The following is a 22,053-nucleotide window of genomic DNA, read 5'->3' as shown; positions in this document are numbered from 1 at the left end:
TAGGAGTCAGTAATTCTATTATTTCTTGTCCATGATTCTTAAGGGAATGGTCATGCCTGCTCCATACCCACTCGTTCATCTCCTTGCTAAGTGAAACCTGGCATAGCCAGGCCATGACCCTGCATATGATGGTAAGTCTCTGAGAAATAGCAGAGTCCCCAAATGAGAATAACCTCAGTTCCTCAAAGATCATGTAAGGCAGAGTCATCTGCTGACCTGGAATATCTGCTCCAGATTTTCACAAGAAAGACAAACTTTGTTCATTAAGCCTCTGAACGTTTGGCATATATTTGTTAGAATAGTTTGGCCTTCGCTAGTATACTTGGAGTATAGCTTTGGTTGCATTCCATTCCATAAATGTTATTACATAGTTTTCTTGTCATCGTCTAGGAATGTCTATTTTTAGTAAAATACATATAATCTATGTAGGTAGTGTTCAAGTCTAGGAAGACTAGTACTTTCTTGCTTGATCTTTATGATCACTAAGAAAAAGAATTACTAATTAGAAAGTTCAAATCTCAAGGTGAAGACAAACATATTTGCATTCCAGAAAAGCTGAATTGCCCAGTTGAGAGGAAGTGATGGATCGCTTGGTTTCCAAGACTACTTTTTTTGTGACAATGATAAAGTGGCCTAATTCTCTAGATCTTAAGCAAGAAACAAAACCCAGAAACATGAAGTAAGAGACTGATGATGTGACAACACCACAATAAAGTAAATAATGCCATGTTCTATTACTGCTTATGAATATAGTTTGTACTGTCCCCATGAAGGTCAGATAATTTAACCCACTGTTTTTTGTTTATAAGCTTCCTTCTGCATTTCTGGGTGGCACAGAGGCACAGATATGAGAATTAATTAGCATCTTGCCCCTTAATTGATGTAACTTTTTTTTTTTTTTGAGACAGAGTCTTGCTCTGTCACCAGGCTGGAGTGCAGTGGTGTGATCTCGGCTCACTGCAACCTCTGCCTCCTGGATTCAAGTGATTCTCCTGCCTCAGTCTCCCAAGTAGCTGGGACTATAGGTGCGCATCATCACGCCCAGCTAATTTTTTTTTTATATTTTTAGTAGAGACGGGGTTTCACCATGTTGGCCAGGATGGTCTTGAACTCCTGACCTTGTGATCTGCCCGCCTCGGCCTCCCAAAGTGCTGGGATTACAGGCATGAGCCACTGTGCCCGGCCTCTCATGTAAACATTTTTAATTGACTGTCTTCTTTGTGCCAGGAACAGAGGAGCATACAGAACTGAATAAGGCAATCTTTACCTTCAATACTAGCCCACACTTTAAAAAGCCTTCTATAGAATTATTATTTGACCCAGCAATCTCATTGTTGGGTATATACCTAAAGGAATATAAATTTTTCTACCATAAAGACATATGCACACCTATGTTCATCACAGCACTATTCACACTAACGAAGACATGGAGTCAACCTAAATGCCCAACAATGGTAGACTGGATAAAGAAAATGTGATACATATACACCATGGAATGCTACACAGCCATAAGAAAGAATGAGATCACATCCTTTGCAGCAACATGGATGGAGCTGAAGGCCATTATTCTAAACAAATTAACACGGGAAAGAAAACCAAATATCACATGTTCTCACTTCTATGCGGGAGCTAAACATTGAGTACACATGGACACGAAGAAGGGAACAACAGACACCCAGGCTTTCTTGAGGATGAAGGGTGGGAGGAAGGTGAGTATTGAAAAACATGTCAGGTACTATGCTTATTACCTGGGTGATGAAATAATCCATACACCAAACCCCCGTGGCATGCAGGTTACCTACATAACAAACTTGCATATGTATTCCTGAACCTAAAATAAAAGTTTAAAAATAAAATAAAATAGAAAGCCTGCTATAAAATAAATCATAGCTTCAACATCGAGAAAGTTGGGATGGTAGATTTGCCTACATACAGCTGAATGGGAATGGGGAAGGGAGAAGGAAACATGGTTACTCATGGTTAGCTAATACCCATTTTTTAAGTTCCTGAGAAAAGAATTGTGCTAGAGATCCTATAAATAGCTGTAAAAGTATTACCTCAATTAAAACATCCCTAGGATTTTGAGGGTTATGTCATATGCACATGTGGGACCCACGGAAATATTGTGCTGGGTCTTCAGGGGACTGCTTCTCAGGGAGATGGAAGTGAATTCCGTATCGATGTTTAAGAACATGATGATCTCTGTGAGGCGTTAAAGCGACTAGCTTTAAGAACTGCCTGGAACTGCGCATATCAGTATCAGGGGCAGTGGACCATCATTCCTCTGAAACATCAGCTGATGCCTCTTGAGAGATATTGATTTCCCACAGGACAGTTGCAAGGAAGAAAACCTACAGTATATTTTTTGGAGCAAAAACAATACTACATTTGAAGAGCTCTGTAGAGCTCTTAACAGACTTCAGCTTCCTTTGGCACATGCTGTTAGGGTAATAACAGTAATAAGAATATCAAGATGTATCATCAGAGTCTCTTCTGGGGAATGAGGACCTAGTATGATGTGGCAGATGTTTTTGGATAGTTAAACCAACACTTTTATCTGCAATTGACATCTTTCATGCTCATGTCTTTTTTAGAGGCTAGACAAATTAAATGCTCCCTTTCTCTACCTCCCTTGCAATTAGTACTGGCCATATGATGTGGTTCTGGCCAATGAAATAAATCACATGTTCGACCTCTTAAGTAGATATTTAGGACTATTATTGCTGGGTCAAATGGTAACTCTGTGTTTAGTCATTTGAGAAATTGCCAAACTATTTTCTAATGTGTCTGTACTATTTTACATTCCTACCAGTGGTGGATGAGGATTCCAATTTCCCCACGTCCTTACCAACACTTAGAATTTTACATTTCTCTTTCTTATTCTTCCTTTTTGAAAAATTATGAACATCCTAGTGGGTGTGATGTGGCAGCTCATTGTGGTTTAATTTGCATTTTCCCAATGAATAATAATGTTGAGCATCTTTTTTTTCATGCTTTTTGGCCATTTGTGTGTCTTCTTTGGAGCAATGATGGTTTAAATCATTTGACCGTTTTAAAATTGGCATTTGTCTTAGTGTTAAATTGTAAGAGTTTAAAATATATATTCTTGATATTAGATCCTTATCAGATAAACATGACTTGCAAATATATTCTTCTATTATGTGGGTTATCTTTTCATTTTCCTTTGTGGAATATTTTGCGAATTTTGATGCACAAAGATTTAAATTCTGATAATGCCCAATTTATCTATTTTTCCTTCAGTTGCTTTTTTTGATGTTGTATATAAGAGATTGTTGCATAGTCCAAGGTGGCCAAGATTTACAACTATGTTTTCATCTAAGTGTTTGTACTTCTAGATCTTACATTTAGGTCTTTAATCCATTTGAGTTAACTTTTGTACATATGTGAAGTAGAGATCCAACTGTGGCTATCCAGTGGTCCCAGCACCACTTGTCGAAAAGACTATTCTTTTCCCATTGAATGATCTTGTTGGAATAAATTGGCTATAGATTTATGGATTTATTTCTGGACTCTCATTTTTACTTTATTGATATCATCCATTTTAAAAGAGATACTTATTAAAATCTTCTACTGTAACTGTGTGTTGATCAATTCTCCTCATATCGTGGCAGAAATAACTAAGAAAATCTATTACATACACTAAAAATGAATTGAGAGGGGCAAGTTCATCAAGCAAAGAGCACAATCTTTGGAGGACAAATCCTTGGATAAAGGAGAGTTTGTGGTGACAGAATGGCAGTGGCAAAGGTGGCATGCATAATCACATTTCATGCCAAGAGGACTAAGAGCTGAAGGCAGCATAGAGACTAGAGTTCCAGCTGCAAGTTTGAGTACAGGCTGCAGGTGTTTGGGGAGCACTGTGCTGCCCAGCACAGAAGTAGATGCCTACATCACTAGGTATGGATGCTGAGATATTCAGGAAGCTGTCCTTTCTGGTTATACCAAACTGAGCAGTCAGTCTTCCATTTGAGGTCAATTCACCAGCCTTATATAAGGCTATCAAGAGGACAGGACCTTCCCCAGGGTCCTGCTTGTACCATAGTCAGGTGTTAAATATGCTTGAAGAAGTGCAGTTCATGGAGACATCTTCTCCTTCCTGGGTAAACATAGATTGAGGACTCTGATTCAGCTGTTGACCACTGACCCCTGTTTAGAAAGAGAAAAGAAGGTGGTTAAGGTTATCTTTAGATCACCTTTTTCAGAGCTGTGTTGGACACTATATCACCAAACTTCCCAGCCTTGCATCTGTGTCTTTCCTTTCCTCCCTCCTTCTCTAGCTTTTTTCCTTCTGTTTTCCTCTTTTCATAGTCTCTGATAAAGCCTCACCTCCTGCCCTCACAGAATTTCCTTCCCTTTAGAATTCGCTATGGAAGAGTCAGAAACTCTCAAGACTCACATGTCAGCTGCATCCACAAGATTATTAATAAATGTTCAAGGAGCATCCTTATCAGCAAAGAATTATTTCCTGAATGGGTTTTTTTTTTTTTTTTTTTTTTGCTTCAAGAAACTCTCTTGGGCTTAGAGTGACACTAAAAACACTACCACGAAATTTAAATCTCTGTTCCAGATATCAGCCAATCGGATCTCTTACCAGATGTTTTCCCAGGGTTTTGAGCTAACCTTGAAGGTTAGCTATGAATAGAGACACTGCCCCCATATGGTGAAATGCTAAATTTTTGTCCTTTCATGCCACTTTTTCAGTTTCTTCTATTTCTCCGTTTCACTTGATGAACACACTTAATGAGTATTCACTATATATTAGAGAAATATGGAGACATGAACAAGACAGATGGAAACTCTGCCCCTGGGCACCTTATAATTGCTCTGAAATATCAGTGAAGGCTAGACTGATAATTAAGTATGGTGAATTGGAAACATACTTCTCTATTCCTTTCTGAGTACCTGGTGAAATGAGAGTAAAAATGTTTTTAAAAGTTATGAACCCCAAAGGACACATAGAACAGGCAAAGGATAACAGCATGTGAGATGTTTTGGAAAATGCAGGTGAATGAACAAGTGGTAACTGACTTAAATGAACTGAAGAAAGGCAAATTCTAAGGTCCCACAGAAGCAAATGCCAACAAAAATTCAGGTGCACCAGAAGTCTTAGTGAGTAGGATACCTGGTACCTCAGAAAATCAGAGAGAGGGTAGGGGTAGGAGACTTTATAGAGAAAATGCAAAGTAAAATTGAATAAATTGCAGTTATACTCTCAGATTTCCCATTTGACCTGGAATAGTCAGGTGTCCACTCCTTTCCAACCACTTTTGTGGAAAAAAGACTATTTTTCTGAAGATATTGAATAAATAACATGAAATTCTGGGCTATCAGGCTTAGTTGAGAGTGAAGTGAAGAAGTATTTAAAAACAGGAACTGGAGCCATTTTTCTTTGCTTGAATCTCAGATTTGTATCCTACTAAGTATGAATGAGCATCCCAGGATCATTAGACATTAAAAGAATCCCTTGACATAAAAGGCAGAGACTTAAATAAAAGAGAAAAAGCCCCTGATAGAGGCAATGTTACCTTTGCTTATCAACACAGTGGTAGGAACATTCTGGCTATTCTTTAAGAAGCAAATAAAACTTTGAATAGTAGCAAACCTCACTTTTACAGAAGGGAATTTTGAAGAAGTTTGGTTTTTAAGATCAAAATTGATTCTGCAACTTGGAGTTTCAAATGCCTAGGATCTGGACTGAGTGTCTAAGCTATGCCTCATAGCCTCAATCCTGATTTAGGTAAATAGCTTCTGCCATCTACTGGCATTTGTGTTTTGTATCTCATTGTGCTCTTTAGACGTAGGAGAGCAGGAAAATCTATTTCTGCCTCCCTGGGCATTTTTCTCCTTTTAATTTCATTGCTAATTTTTTCTTAGTTGTTTAGGTTTGCCCATGACTTACTTCTGTATGTATATTTACCTTTCTTACCTTCTCTATTCCTGTTATGTGGTGGCATGTTACCTAAAATGAATTGCTGCTTTCCACCAAATAAAAATACAATCTTATGTTGCTTTTTTTCTTTTTAATCACTGCCAGATTTTATTGAAAAACATATTTTTGGAAAATAAAGAAACAATAAACAGAAAGCAAAACACCTTAATTCAGATGAAAAATGCATTCCTTCTATATTCTCTTAATGGAATGTGGGAGGCACAGAGATGACAGGGAGCTGCAGGGGCTCACTGATTCCTCAAGGGTGTGTTTTCCCATTACCATTAGATCTGTCGCCTCCTTGAGATCATCATGGTTGCTGTTGCAGTCTCGGCAATGGTTTATATTGTTCCAGTTCTTCATGAGCCCTGCTGTCTCAGCCTTGAAAGTGTACCTATTGAGAATACTGGCAATACATTTCTCTCTCCTCAAGAAGAATAAGCCAAGTAGTAGTGTATGAATGTATGAAGGGTGACATTAAGCTCTGGGATGAACATGACATACATTTAAATAATCGATTTAAAGTATTTTTTGTATGTTGAAACAAATGAGAATATATTACATAATAGAAAGTAACAAATGAATTTTAAATATAGTACATGAGATTCCAAACAGATTTCATACACATACAGGGGACTATATCTCCCAGGCCTTCCAGAATATAGCCTCGCTTTCCTTGGCTGTTAGCAGTGATTTGTAGGGAAATTAAAACACACACACACACACACACACACACACACACACACACACATTGCGGTTACTAGGAAAACATATATGCCTTTTGTTTGCAAACTACACTAACCTAAGAAATATAGTTGCTGTGTATTCTAACATAATTATTCAAATGATTTTTTAATTGAAATTGCCATGCAAGAAGATCAATGGTAGGAAATTATAAGCTTGTTCAGAAAGAAAATCCTACTTCAAAAAGAAGGATTATTTCTATTTACAGTTCAAAGAGAAGGGAGATACCTGCCAGGAACTCCAATAAAACAAACAAGAGGTAAATATAGGAGGGCACTACTTTTGAGTACAGAAAAACTGACATAGCTCCAGGCTTCGTACAGTGTCCCTGGGGAGACATGTGGGGACCAAAGTAGGTCTAGCTCAGTAAGGTGGGTCAGTAGCAGAATAACCTAATGTATTAGTCTACTTGGGCTGCCATAACAATATACCACTCACTGAGTGGCTTAACGAAGAGAAATTTGTTATCTCACAGTTCTGGAGGCTGGAAGTTTAAAATCGAGATATCACATGGCCTTTCCTTGGGGTATGTATGTGTGTGTGTGTGAGAGAAAGAGAGAGTGCGCTTTGGAGGATACACAAATATTCATTCCACAACACCTACTCTGTAACACCTAAGACATTCAATTTATAACATAATTGTCTGATACGCATTTTGACAGAGGTGTATGCAAAGTAAGACATGCCTCCAGGCTCCAGGTGACTGGCCAGGACATGAGAAAATTTGTTCAAGTGACACCTACTGACAGGAAGTGAGTGGAGATGTGGCCTCACCGCATGTCAGGAAGCTGTGGCCTCTATATTTCTGTAGTGGCTGTGGCCTCCAGTGGGCTTCCCTAGAATTCAAGTTCTCAAAAGCATTCCTTGATGGGATTTTTCTTCTGACAAGTTCAGAGATAATGATTTTCCTCTTCACTTACTGTGGTTCTCCTTGTTCCCACAGATTGGGGAACTGGAGCCTCCTGCTTTTAGAAAGTGTTCTTGAGCTAAGTTGGGTGTTGTTTCATTTGTGTCTAGAAGGCTGACATTGGGGTCTACATCTTGATTACATTGTGTCTGTTGGTGTCTCTGGCCAATGGTTCAAACTGGAACAGGTTTTATTATACAGTCACGCACCATATAATGGTATTTCCATCAACAATTTATGACAGTGCTCCCATAATATTATAATGGAGCTGAAAAATTGCTATCACCTAGTGACATTATAGCCATTGTAAAATCGTAGCACAAATGCATTACTCACATGTTTGTGGTGTTGTTGGTGTAAACAAACCTACTGCACTGCTAATCATATAAAAGTATAGTACATACAATTATGTGCAGTTCATAGTACTTGATGATAGTAATAAACGGTAATACCTGTTTGTGTGTTTACCATACTATACTTTTAATAGTTATTTTAGAGTATATTCCTTCTACTTATAAAGAACTGAACTGTAAAACAGCCTCAGGTAGGTCCTTCAGGAGGTATTCCAGAAAAAGACATTGCTATCATAGAAGATGACAGCTGATGCATGTTATTGCCCCTGAAGACCTTCCAGTGGGACAAGATGTGCAGGTGGAAGACATCAATACTGATGATCCTGACTCTGTGTAGGCCTAGGCTAATATGTGTGTTTGTGTCTTAGTTTTTAGTACAGAAGTTTAAATAATAGAAAAAAAAATTAAAAAAGAATAAGGATATAAAAAAGGATATAAATAAGGATATAAAAAAGAAAATTGTTTTGTATAGCTATACAATGTGTTTGTGTTTCAAGCTATTATGAAAGAGACAAAAAGTTAAAAAAATTAAAAGTTTATAAAGTAAAAAAAGCTACAGTAAGGTAAGGTTAACTTATTCTTGAGAAAATGAAATTATTGTTAAACAAATTTACTGTAGCCTAAGTATATAGTGTTTATAAAGTCTACAGCAGTGTATAATATTGTCCTAGGCTTTTACATTCACTGACCTCTTACTCACTTGCTGAATTACACAGAGCACCTTCCAGTCCTGCAAGCCCCATTCATTGTAAGTGCCCTAGACAAGCATATAATTTTGATATTTATTATTACTGTTACTACGATGCAGGTCATTTGTGTGCAGGTTTGTTATATGGATATATTGCATAATGGTGAGGTCTGGGCTTCTAGTGTACCCATCACCCGAATGGTGAACATTGTACTGAATAGGTAATTTTTCAACCCTCCCATCATTCCCCCTTTTGGAATCTCCACTGTCTATTATTTCCCTCTATATGCCCATGAGTGCCCATTGTTTAGCTCCCAGTTATAAGTGAGACCATGCAGTACGTTATTTTCTGTTTCTGAGTGATTCCACTTAGGATAATGGCCTCAAGCTAAATCCATGTTGCTGCAAAAGATATGGTTTTATTCTTTTTTATGGCTGTGTAGTAGTCCACGGTGTATATATACCACATTTTCTTTATACAATAATACATTGATGGACACTTAGGTTGATTTCATGACTTTACTATTGTAAATAGTGCTGTGATAAATACACAAGAGCAGGTGTCTTTCTGACATAACAATTTTGTTTCCTTTGGGTAGTAGTGCTGTTGCTGGGTTGAATGGTAGCTCTATTTGTAGTCCTTTGGGTAGCAGTGGTGTTGCTGGGTCGAATAGTAGTACTATTTGTAATCCCTTGAGAAATCTCCATATTGTTTTCCATAGATGTACTAATTTACATTCCCACCAAGAGTGTATAAGCATTCTTTTTTTTCCTATATTCTTGCCAACATCTGTTTGTGTTTTGACTTTTTAATAATAGCCATTTTTACTGATGTGAGAAGGTATCTCATTGTGGTTTTGATGTACATTTCTCTGATGATTAGTGATGTTGAGCATTTTCTCACATGTTTGCTGGTTGCTTGTATGTCTTCTTATGAGAAATATCTGTTCATGTCCCTTGCCCATTTTTTAATGGGGTTGTTTTTTTCTTGTTGAGTTGTCTGAGTTTTTTTATAGATTCAGGATATTAGTCCTTTGTTGGTTGATAGTTTGAAAACATTTTCTCTCATCCTGTAGGTTGTCTATTTACGCTGTTGATTATTTCTTTTGCCGTATAGAAGCTATTTAGTTTAATTAAGTACTGCTTGTCTATTTTTGCTTCTGTTGCATTTGCTTTTGAGATCTTGTCATAAATTTTTTTGCCTAGTTCAATGTCTAGAAGAGTTTTTCCTAGTTTTTCTTCCAGGATTTTTGTAGTTTCAGGTCTTCCATGTAAGTCTTTATTTTATCTGGACTTAATTTTTGAATATGGTGAGAGATATGCATTCAGTTTTATTCTTCTGTATATGGCTATCCAGTTTTTCCAGCACCATTTATTGAATTGGATGTCCTTTCCTCATTGTGTATTTTTGTTGACTTTGTCAAAGATCAGTTGGTTGTAGGTATATGGTTTTATTTCTGGGTTCTCTATTTTGTTCCATTGGTCTACGTTCAAAATATGCAAATCAATAAATGTGATTCACCATGTAAACAGAATTAAAAACAAAGACCATGTGATCATCTCAATAGATGCAGAAAAAGCATTCAATAAAACCCAACATCCTTTTATGATAGAAACCCTCAACAAACTAGGCATCAAAGGAACATACCTCAAAATAATAAAAAAAAACTATGACAAATAAGGGTCATCCATGACAACATACCCAATGAGGAAAATTTGAAAGCATTCCCTCTAAGAACAGGAACAAGACAAGGATGTCCACTCTCACCACTTCTATTCAACATAGTGCCAGAAGTCCTAGGCAGAGCAATCAAGCAAGAGAAAGAAGTAAAAGGCATCCAAATTAAAAAAGAGAAACTAAAATTATCTCTATTCACTGATGACATGATCTTATATCTAGAAAACCCTAAACAGTCTTCTGAAAGATGCCTAGACTTGATAAATGACTTCAGTAAACTTTCAGGATACAAAATCAACATACAAAAATTAGTAGCATTTCTATACACCAATAACAACCAAGCTAAGAAAAAAATCAAGAACTCAATTCCATTTATGATATCCACACATACAAATAATAAAATACTTAGAAAATACATTTAACCAAAGAGATGAAAGATGTCTACAAGGAGAACTACAAAGAACTGATGAAAGGAATCATAGATGATACAACAAATAAAAAAATGTTTCATGCTCACTGATTGGAACAATCAATATAATTAAAATTACTACCCAAAGCAATATACAGATACAATGTAATTCCTATCAAATTACCAGCATCATTTTTACAGAATTTGAAAAAAACAATTCTAAAATTAATATGGGACAAAAAAAGCACAAATAGCCAAAGCAATCATAAGCAAAAAGAACAAAGCCATCACATTACCTGACTCCAAACTATACTACAAGGCTATAGTAACCCAAACAGCATGTCACTGATACAAAAATAGACACAGATTATCTTAAAATCTTCTATACTGTGTTTTTACTGTATATGCAGTTAATAGAGTAATATGCTGTGTCTATTATCAGATAGATGTCATTTACATAACAATTATTGTAATAAATGTAAACAATATATAACATTTAAAGAACCATATACATTAACATTTAATACAGTAAAAAGCAATAGGATGGAAGATACTATATTCTTCATTTTTCTATGAGAAACTGAGGTTCAAAGGCTATGTAACAGGGGTCATGGGGCAAATAAGTGACAGTCTTTTGGTTACTTTCTTTTTTTTTTTTTTTTGAGACAGAGTTTTGCTCTTGTTGCCCAGGCAGGAGTGAAATGGTGCAATCTCGGCTCACTACAACCTCCACCTCCTGGGTTCAAGTGATTCTCCTTCCTCAGCCTCCCAAGTAGCTGGGATTACAGGCATGCACCACCACACCCAGCTAATTTTGTATTTTTAGTAGAGATGGCATTTCTCCGTGTTGGTCAAGCTGGTCTTGAACTCCAGACCTCATTCTATTATCAGATAGATGTCATTTACATAACAATTATTGTAATAAATCTGAATAATACATAACATTTAAAGAACCATATACATTTACATTTAATACAGTAAAAAGCAATAGGATGGGAGAGACTATTTTCTTCATTTTTCTATGACAAACTGAGGTTCAAAGGCTATGTAACAGGGGTCATGGGGCAAGTAAGTGACAGTCTTTTGGTTACTTTCTTTCTTTTTTTTTTTTTTGAGACAGAGTTTTGCTCTTGTTGCCCAGGCTGGAGTGAAATGGTATGATCTTGGCTCAGCACAACCTCCACCTCCTGGGTTCAAGTAATTCTCCTGCCTCAGCCTCCTAAGTAGCTGGGATTACAGGCATGTGCCACCACACCCAGCTAATTTTGTATTTTTAGGAGAGATGGCATTTCTCCATGTTGTTCAGGCTGGTCTTGAACTCCAGACCTCAGGTGATCTGCCTGCCTCAGCCTCCAAAAGTGCTGGGATTATAGGCATGAGCCACTGTGCCTGGCCAGTTACGTTATATCATCATACATGCAGAAAATATAACCACAGCATAATGGACCACTACCTGTTAACTGGAAAAGCCAGGAGTCATTCATGTTAGGAAGATCATAACATGATTCAAATGATCCTACCTTACCATGACCTTTAGTGCTCTTTGTGGGGACGAAGGGAAAGAAACTGAAAATAATTTAAAGAAATGTCTAAATGCAGACCGTTCAACAGGCAGGGAAAGGAAAAGAATTCTATCACAAAAACTACCACATCTCTGCCACTTCTTAATTGCATGACTTTGAACAAGTTACTTAACTTCTCTGAAAATCAGTTTACTCATCAATAAAAGCAAGATAATAATACCTACCTCAAAAAAATATTCTGAGGATCATAAAAGGTCCTGGGAGTACCTAGTACTCTTTGTCATTTACATAATGTTTGTTATATATATTAGTTAATATGTGGCAGGTAATGTGTATTGTTTATCTCATATATCTCCAACTTCATTTTTACAGAATTTGAAAAAACAATTCTAAAATTAACATGGGACCAAAAAAGAGCTTGAATAGCCAAAGCTATCCTTAGCAATCCTAAGCAATCCTAAGTCCCGTAGCATATGGGACTCTTTACCACTCTAGGAAATAGATGGTATTCATTTTTCAGATGAATCTAAGTTCAGAAAGATTCAGTCACATGCCCAAGGTTATCTGGTTTGGAAGTAGGAGGACTAGTATTTGAGTGATATCTAAGATTACAAACCTTTACTTTTTTGACTGTGCTGCCTCTGAAACAGTTAAATTTTCATATGTTTTCTTAGACAAACTAGTTCCCCTGCCTATTCTTTCATGTAGAAGTTTTACTGATATAGTCATGCCTTGCTCAACTACAGGCGTTCTGAGAAATCCATCATTAGGCAATTTTGCCATTGTGCAAACATTATAAGAGCGTACTGGTCTAGATGGTATAGCCTGCTACACGATAGGCTATGGGCTACAAACCTGCACAGGATGTTATTGTACTGAATACTCTAGGTAATTGTAACAATGGTGAGTCTTTGTGTATCTAAACATAGACAAGGTGTAGTTAAATAGAATATTGTTCTATGTATTTTCAAGCAATAGAATCTTTAATTTTTTCCTCTGAATTATGTTATCTTTCTAAAATAATTGGAATAAAAACATATGTTTTAAAAACTGCTGACAAAGAGATCGAGACCATCCTGGCCAATATGGTGAAACCCTGTCTCTACTAAAAATACAAAAATTAGCTGGGTGTGGTGGCACATGCCTGTAATCTCAGCTACTCAGGAGGCTGATGCAGGAGAATGGCTTGAACCCAGGAGGCAGAGATTGCAGTGAGCTGAGATGGCACCACTGCACTCCAGCCTGGCGACAGAGCGAGACTCCTTCTCAAAAAAAAAAAAAAAAAAAAAAAATTGCTAACAGTATGTTGCCTGTGTTCCTGCTGATGGGAACTGACCAAACACTGGCAGCCTACACTATGGCTGAGAAGTGTGGGAAAGAGTATTTTACAATAAAAACATCTTTTCTATCCTACTGCCACCGTAACTGAGAATGTATCTTTGAGGAGACTTTCTTGGAATCTCCTCTTTTTCAAATACAAACAGTCCAGGGAGACCTAACCTAGAACATTACATTGAGAGTAAGTTAGGCTATAAACCACTTTATTTTAGAGATTGAGTGGAGAGAGATATATATCTACTCAATAGTGTAGGAGAAGGTTCTGAAGAGCAATTCAGTGACTAGAAATATCAGGCTTTGGGCAGGCTAACAGTATTAAAACATCATAGAATACTACTAGGGGCTGGGTAAAAAGCAGGAGCAGTAGAATAGGTGGGAGGCAATGGTGAAGGAATGGCAAGAGACTAAAGGCAGATTTTTCATATGTCCATATTCTGCTACAACTGGCCCTGGGTTCAGAACTTTTATCAAAGGCCATAAGATAAAACAAGTTTTTTAAAAATTCTGCAGGATGAGTTCTGCCACAAAAACTGTTGAATATGATTTGCTTCTCTTTGAAGCTATTTGGGAGGTGAGAGCCAACTGGATGTGGCTACAGCTTGCCGGCAGCAAGAACAGATGAGTCCTTTGTTTGCCCCCTACATACCCACTCTACACATAGGGGGTATCACAAACTGCTGGAGGAAACCGAATAGAATTATCCAGCACAGTAAGGAGGTGCTAATATTTGTAAACCTGTTTCTCAGGACATGATAAAACACATGACAGCCCTTGAGGCTTTCTCTAAGTCCTACAACTCACTGAGGATAGATCATTTTCCCCATTCTCATTCCTGCCATTGCCCTTTTAAGAACATCCAAAGCTTGGCCTAAGGTTTTAGTAACAAATCTCTTTACGTTTGCATTAGAGTCTTCTGTTTCACATATGGTGTTTCAATTAATAAAATACAGTGAGACTAGCTGAGAATACCTCATCTTTATTTTGAAATTTAGAAACCATCCCAAAGAGGTTCTGTTCTTTGAGCACAACCACACAGGTGGCAGGTGCAGTATAATCCAGGCCCTCATCCTTTCCATCTACTTGTGGAGTTTCCTTTAGAGAAAATATACCGTTAAATTCTGCAGATTTTCTTTAAATGCTTTTATTTCTTATTTTAAGAATTGCTCTGCTTTATACAAAATTTGATGTTAGTTATTTTCTCTCTGAACATTGAAAAATAATTCAAATCTCAGTTGGTTTCCATTGTTATTTTTGAGAAGTCAGCTGTCAGTTTACTTCTTTGAAAACAGTCTTTTTCACCCTCCCCTTTGATTTTTAAGATTTTCTTCTTGATTTAAGATTTTCTGCTGTTTTACTCTGAACACACACACACACACATGCACGCATGCATGCACACACACTACACTTCTTTTTATATAAATTGCCCAGGAATGTTTTTGTCTTCTTGAATTGTGAATTGATGTCTTTCATCCATTTTTTAAAAACTGTTCATCCATTATCTCTTCATATATTGTTTCTGCCTCATTCACCTCTCTCCTCTTTCTGGAACTCCATTTAATCATATTTTATACTTTCTCATTCTGTTTATTCTCTGTAGCTCTTCTTTCTACTATCGTAACTCTCAACTTTTTATCTTGGCAAGTTGTCAAGGCTGCAGCATAAGACTAGACTAGACAAGACAAGACTATGTCCCAGAGGAAGTGAAGACAAGGAAGTGAAGTAAGGAATTTAAGGCTAACATTTGTTTTATGAATTTGATCAACACAGTTGAGAAGAGGGCATAAGAATAAATCATTATTTGACTTAAATCTAGCAGGCTCATATCTGGCACACTAAAGTCCTACTAAGATAGTGCCAGGAGTAACAAAAGGCTCTAGAAATTGGAGACAAGTTTTCTGATGAAAATATTATGTTGTGATATTTACTTAAAATATGAAAGGCTGTGGCTATGGATGGCCCTATTTAATAGATCTACTTATAAGACAGCATTTATATGGGGTTAAAGTTAGCACAGAATGTAGCAAATTTTTCTGCTTATTTTAATCCATCCCCTTTTTTTCTGACTGTGGTATCTATAAGAATGCCACAAACACATATTGCAAGGAATTCTCACTATGGGGGTGAATAGATAAGCCTGATAGATTTAGCCACTTACTGAAGGTTTAGAAAATATCAGTTCCTTATTCCATTGGTTTTTGCAGTGGAAAACTTTTGGGTGATTCCCAAAGCACACAAAAAAATTATCTTCCTGCTAGGAGGAAATTTTTACCACAATAATAATTATAATACCTATGTCCTGTAAGAAAACTAAGTTCACAATCTCCCTTACTGTCCAGATATTGCTGATTAGAATTTAGTGGCTTTCTATGACATGCTAGGCCCTACAAACAAACAAAAATCAGACTAATTCTTTCACCTGATTTATAATGGAATTGCCAAGAGCTGTTAGAAAAGGAACTAAACCTTGCACTCAAGGCAGGAGGAAAAGAAACTCGGTTCCTGCCTTCTTTCTTCTAATCACTCACTCTTCCTCTTGCTCAACCCCAGCATTCCTATCAGGGGCTATCCCTAAGGAGGTAGACAGAGCTGGTCGCTGCTCATTGCACACTAGGAAAAGTCATGCTGGCATCTTCTCCCATAGGGAAATTTCTGCTGCCCAGAATCAAAACCAATGTCTGGAGCTCAGCCTTGTTCAGTTTGCTGGACATTCTGAGGCAGAATCACTGGAGAAGGTGAATTATTTTCTCAGAATAGGAAATTGGCTTTTGATGGGGGAGAAAAAAAGAGGAGAAGGGTAAGTTGCATGTCATATAACCTATTTGCTTAGGCTGACCTAAGACGCTGATGTGAATTTAACAGTTTCTTTCTCCTGATAACATTGATTTACCAGCCTTGTGGGACATGGCAGGTTAATCTCTAAACATCCTTATGACTACTTATCTTCATACTTTCAACCCTTAATATTCCCAGCATTCTACTGGAGACAATATCTTTATATTATTTTCCAATTAGAAAAATTTGATTTTAGGTTAAAATGCAAATATGTACACTCTTTAGTTTGAGATTTGTATATGTATATGCATATTTACACACATAGGTAAGTGTCACTTTACTCGGAACATTTCATGAAAATCAGAAACTTATGTTCTTATTTCCTGCTTGCTTTTCCTCTTATCACGTTGCCAAACATTTTCTTTCATGGGCTTCTCTCTTTTCTCTCTTTCCTGTTTATTTTAGCAAACTTTTCTCCCAGTGGGTGGTATAGGTAACATTTCTTTAAAACAGAAAATAATCTAATTCGACTTGATTTTTAAAAATCTTCCCTGACTTTGGCCAACATAAATGATCATTCCCATTTTACATGCAATTTCTTTTGAAACCAGGTCACTAGGCAGTTTCTGATGACAGGAGACCATTATATTCCTCCTTTCTTTTCTAAATTTAAAGAATAGAACATCTCCTAGTTAGGTTGAAGCCATATCATGTTGATCAACTTCCCTACTTTTATGTGAGAATTTTGACTTACTTGAAATTGTCATTGTTTGATTAATAGTAAAAATACTATCTCAAATATTGAGGGCTTGCAATACACCAGATACTTAATGTATGTAATCTATAACCTTACTTCATCCTAACAAGAACATATGAATAAAATAATATGATTGTATCATCTTTACAGAGGGAAAATAAAGACTTGTAAAGTTAAAGTTGTTGGTCAACATCACATAGCTTTTAAGAAACATGTGAATTATTTCTCTCTAACCTATGATCTTATCAGTTATTCAGTATCAGTTTAATACTTGTAAACACCCACTGTAGGCCAGCACTATTCTGATGTGGAGTGGAGGATGAAGGTAACATCTTCTCCACTTCATACTGAGACAACTGGGAAACAATTCTTTAAGCTGATAATTTGGAGTGGCCAGAAGAATACTGAGACTAGAATATGAATGAAAGCACAATGAGAAGAGAAGTGGAGGCCAGTCTAAGACTGCATTAGATATTTATTAATATATTCCCCTCTCTCTAGCTCACTCTATCTAATCTACCTATTATCTATCTATCTACCTATCATCTATCTAATAATCTAGCTTCCTATAATCTATCTATCACCTATTTATCTGTCTAAACATTTGTCTTTTTCTATATCTATACTACAAACTTAGAAAAAACTATTGCCCATGACTCCTCAGTATGGATATTCTAACACTCTTGGTACAATGTTAATCTGTGACAAAGAATCTGACAAACAATGCACAATTTCTTTTTATTAACAAGGTGGGTAAATAGCAAAGGGAAAGAAGTTCCTTGGCACAACAGGGACATAATATTCGTGCATAGTTCTTGCATAAATCACTGAAATTCATGCTATTCTCATTCGAATTTGATGTTCCATCTACTAAAAAGTAACATAACTACCAGACAATAAAGTCAAATTAAATTTGGGATTAGTGATATAGCTCCCCCTTGTATCATTCCTACTCTCCTCCCCATTTTTCCAATAAGACAATTGCAACGTTCTGAGACTTCATGTCTTGGCAAAGGTCCCAGCCACATCTCAGGAGCCCCATGTCAGAAGAGCATATGTGGCCCAGCTGCAGGTTTGGAGACAGCTGATAGAGGCCTGAAGATCGCTGTGTGTCTGCTCCACAGAGGTAGATGCCTGCATGGCTGGGCTGGGAGGCTGTGATATGCAGGGAACTTTGCTGCTTTTTCTCATCCAACTTGGCAGTTATCTTTTCATGACTTTTCTCTTCCCCACCTTTCTGTAGCATCATCAAGAAGATAAGACCTTCACCATACTTTTGCTTATACCAGTATAAGCCATATAACGTCTTTGATGACGTGCAGTTTATGGTGAGATTCTTTCCCTCTTGGACGATCAAGGACTGAGGACTCTGCTCCAGTTCTTGGCTACTGACCCCTGTTCAAAAAGACAATGTAAAGAAAATACAGAAGACCCTCATAAGATTTTCATGGTCATGGTAGGGATGATGTTTTTCTCCCCCTCCCCACTTCCCCTAGGCAGCAGAATTGTCACATTAAAACAAAGTATTGTCATTTTTTTTCCCAACACATATCTGGCTCTCAAACGGGCCTTCCCAGAACAGAAGATGACTCGACTCTTGCCCTCAGGATGCTGTCACCATCTCGCAATTCTCCCAGACTAACCACATACTCACAGGCTGCTTGGAACCCCAATATCCCTAGGAGTACTTGCAGAACAGTCTCCATCCCTTAGCTATTTAGAAAACACAGTTAAATCAGATTTTACTGAATGAGCTTCCCCAGCAGAAGTTACTTTGCTCATTGGTGCAGGAGATTGCACCAATCAGAAGCCATACCTGGATTCCTGTTTGTTCAGCACTGTACAATCTTACTCAAATACTTTTTTAACACTGCCACTCTTTGGCCAGACTGAGAAATGCTGAATAATGGACAGGTTTTCTGGAGTTAATTTATATATGACATAGATCTATTTATTGCATTAAAATATGCCACTTATGAGATAAAGAAAATATAATCTCATAACATATGTTACCCTTGCATGCTTGAGAAAGTTTACCCTCCATAATTAAGAGAAAGTAAAAAATTCTGTTCTCTATAGTACAGAGTGATTATTTTTCAATATTTATCTCTGTCTACTTTTGTTTTGAGCCTTCTTAAAAACTACTTTTCTGAGGTACACTTTGCATATAACAAATTACATATGTTTACAAGGTCCAATATGATAATTTTTGACATGGTCATACAAATGTGAAATCATCATCACAATCAAGATAAAGAACATATGCACCACTCCCCAAAGTTTCCTTGTGTCTCTATTCCTTGTGTTCCTTGTTAATCCTTTCTGTATACCTTTCCAATATATCATCCCAATGCCTATTCAACCCCAGGCAATCTCTAGTCTGCCTTCTCTTACTATAGATTTTCTAGAGTTTTATGTAAACAGAATCATACCGTATCTGCTTTCTGTCGTCCGGTTTCTTTCAGCATATTTATTTTGAGATTGTGTTTGTTAGCTTGGGCTGCCATAACAAAATACCATAGACTGTGTGACTAAAACAATGGAAATTTATTTCTCATGGTTCTGAAGGCTGGGAAGTCTAAGATCGAGGGGCTGGAAGATCTCATGTCTGGTGAGGGCCTGCTTCCTGGTTCATAGATGGCAGTCTTCTTGTGGTGTCCTCACATGACAGAAAGAACAAGAAAGTTCTCTAGGGTTTCACTGAATGGAACTAATCCCATTCAAGATGGCTACACTTTTATGACCTAATCACTTCCTCAAAGACCTACTTCCTAATACCATCACACTGGGGGTTAGGATTTCAACACATGAATTTGCAGGGGAGATCACAAATATTCAGTTCATAACAAATTGTTGTGGTATTTTTGTTGAAAATCAACTATGTACATGCTGGCCTATTATTGGATCCTTTATTGTGTTCCAATGTTCTACTTGTCTATCTTTATATCAATATCATAGTCTCTTGATTATTGTAACTATAAAAGTATTCATATCAGTAGTGTAAGTTCCTCAATTTGTGTTTTTTAAAAAGAATTTTTTTGTTGTAGTCCCTTGGCATTTTCATATAAATCTTAGACCCACTTGTCAATTTCTATGAAAATTTCTGTTGGGATTTTGATTTGAATGACATTGAATCTGTAGGTCAATTTGGAGAGAATTTTAATGAGTCTTCTAATCTGCAAACACAATAACTCTTTCCATTTATTTAGATCTTAAATGTATCTCAGAATTTTTTTATATCTTTTAGTGTACAGGCCTTAGACAACTTCTGTCAAGTGTATTCATACACACACACACACACACACGCCAGAATTGAAATTTATTTATTTATTTATTTGAGACAGAGTCTCACTCTGTTGCCCAGGCTGGAATGCAGTGGTGTAATCTTGGCTTACTGCAACCTCTGCCCCCCAGGTTCCAGTGATTCTCGTGCCTCAGCCTCCTGAGTAGCTGGGATTACAGGTGTGTGCCACCACACCTGGCTAATTTTTCATTTTTAGTCGAGACAGGGTTTTGCCATGTTGGCCATGCTAGTCTTGAATTCCTGGCCTCAAGCTATCTGCCTGCCTCAGCCTCCCAAAGTGCCAAGATTACAGGCATGAGCCCCTGTGCCTGGCCCAGAATTGAAATTCATATACATATAAATTGCATTCTTGAGACGAACCCCACTTCATTATTATGTATTATCCTTTTTATATATTGTTAGATTCAGTCTGCTAAAATTTTGTTAAAAGTTTTTTATGCATATGTATGCATAAATATATAAATGCATAAATATACATATGCATATCTATATAAATTTCAATTCTGCTTGTTTAGTGTTACTGTATGGAAGCAGCATTATTTTGTATATTGAGCTTGTATCTTGCAATTTTATCTAACTCATTTATTGGTTACAGTAGTTTTTTTGTCTATAGGATTTGCTACACAGACAATTCTATTGTTTGCAAAATGAGTTACGTTTTAAAAAGTTAAATATGGTTTCCTTTACCATAAAGTCAAGTTAGCGATCTTTCAGGGTTTTGTGTTTCAGGTCTAAAGATAGATTATTTTGGATGTGCTACCTCCCTCTAGGAACAAGGCTTAGCAAAGAGCTTGCTACCACAATTCCCTAAGAAAGACAGAATTATTTTCAGTCACTTCGGAGCTTTTATAATTATTTCTGTGTTGTTTTCTCAATTATTATATTCCTTTTGTTTTCCGTGGTATCTTGTTCTTCCCATGTTTGAAGGCAGTTCCCAAAGCCCATGTCATTCATTGTACAGCATAGGATTTGGCACAGATTAAAGATTTAATTTGTTGGGTGAATATATTAATTACTATTTACTCATAACATTATTAGGAGAAGTTATGTGGAACGACTCTTGAAATTATTCCAAAAAAGCTTCCAATTTTTTGAAAACAAATTGAACAGAAGTATCCAAAGTAAAGGCAAATGCCAGATTAGATCTGTGGGAAAAATTCAAATAGCACACCAACCCTCATTCTCCATCCTCCAAAAAAGAAAAACTCACAAATCTGTAATAGGTAAAGCCTGGTTTCCTTTTTCTTTTTGTCTCATTGCATTGGTTAGATTCTCTAGGATAATGTTGAATAGAAACGGTGAGAGTAGACATTTTTGCCATGTTCCTGATCTTGGGTTAGACTGTTAAAGCCATTTTGGAATGCAACTTTTCAATATCTATAAAAATATAAAATAGGCATATCTTTTGATCCAGTAATTCCACTTCGGAATCTATAAGGAATATGTACACACACACACATACACACACACATACACATATGTCATATATATTTATATATGTAGAGATGATATAGGTGAGGTAAGTAAAATTATTATACAACCATACTGTGAACATTTGTAGATATTGAAAAGAATAAGGCCAGTTTATACACACATGCATACACATGTATCTCGGTATGAACACACCTCA

The 22,053-nt window shown here is 36.8% G+C and overlaps 2 gene segments (V, D, J or C) and 1 further gene, besides 8 other annotated features; all 3 read right to left on the bottom strand.

The window, feature by feature from the left end:
* Nucleotides 1-22,053, bottom strand: part of TRA (T cell receptor alpha locus) — a 930,229-nt gene that overhangs the window by 325,774 nt on the left and 582,402 nt on the right.
* Nucleotides 3,845-3,853: a recombination feature (nonamer).
* Nucleotides 3,854-3,876: a recombination feature (spacer).
* On the bottom strand, nucleotides 3,884-4,463 carry TRAV35 (T cell receptor alpha variable 35). The segment is given in 2 exon segments: nucleotides 3,884-4,167; nucleotides 4,418-4,463. Coding segments are annotated over 2 exon segments (330 nt in total), but the record flags the coding sequence as incomplete, so codon positions are not given.
* Nucleotides 4,160-4,167: a sequence feature (TRAV35 leader sequence).
* Nucleotides 4,418-4,463: a sequence feature (TRAV35 leader sequence).
* Nucleotides 18,191-18,199: a recombination feature (nonamer).
* Nucleotides 18,200-18,222: a recombination feature (spacer).
* Nucleotides 18,230-18,825, bottom strand: TRAV34 (T cell receptor alpha variable 34). The segment is given in 2 exon segments: nucleotides 18,230-18,514; nucleotides 18,774-18,825. Coding segments are annotated over 2 exon segments (337 nt in total), but the record flags the coding sequence as incomplete, so codon positions are not given.
* Nucleotides 18,507-18,514: a sequence feature (TRAV34 leader sequence).
* Nucleotides 18,774-18,825: a sequence feature (TRAV34 leader sequence).

This window comes from Homo sapiens, chromosome 14 (assembly GCF_000001405.40).
Source record: "Homo sapiens chromosome 14, GRCh38.p14 Primary Assembly".
NCBI classification, from domain to species: Eukaryota; Metazoa; Chordata; class Mammalia; order Primates; family Hominidae; genus Homo; species Homo sapiens.
This window is presented reverse-complemented; position numbering and strand designations above follow the sequence as displayed.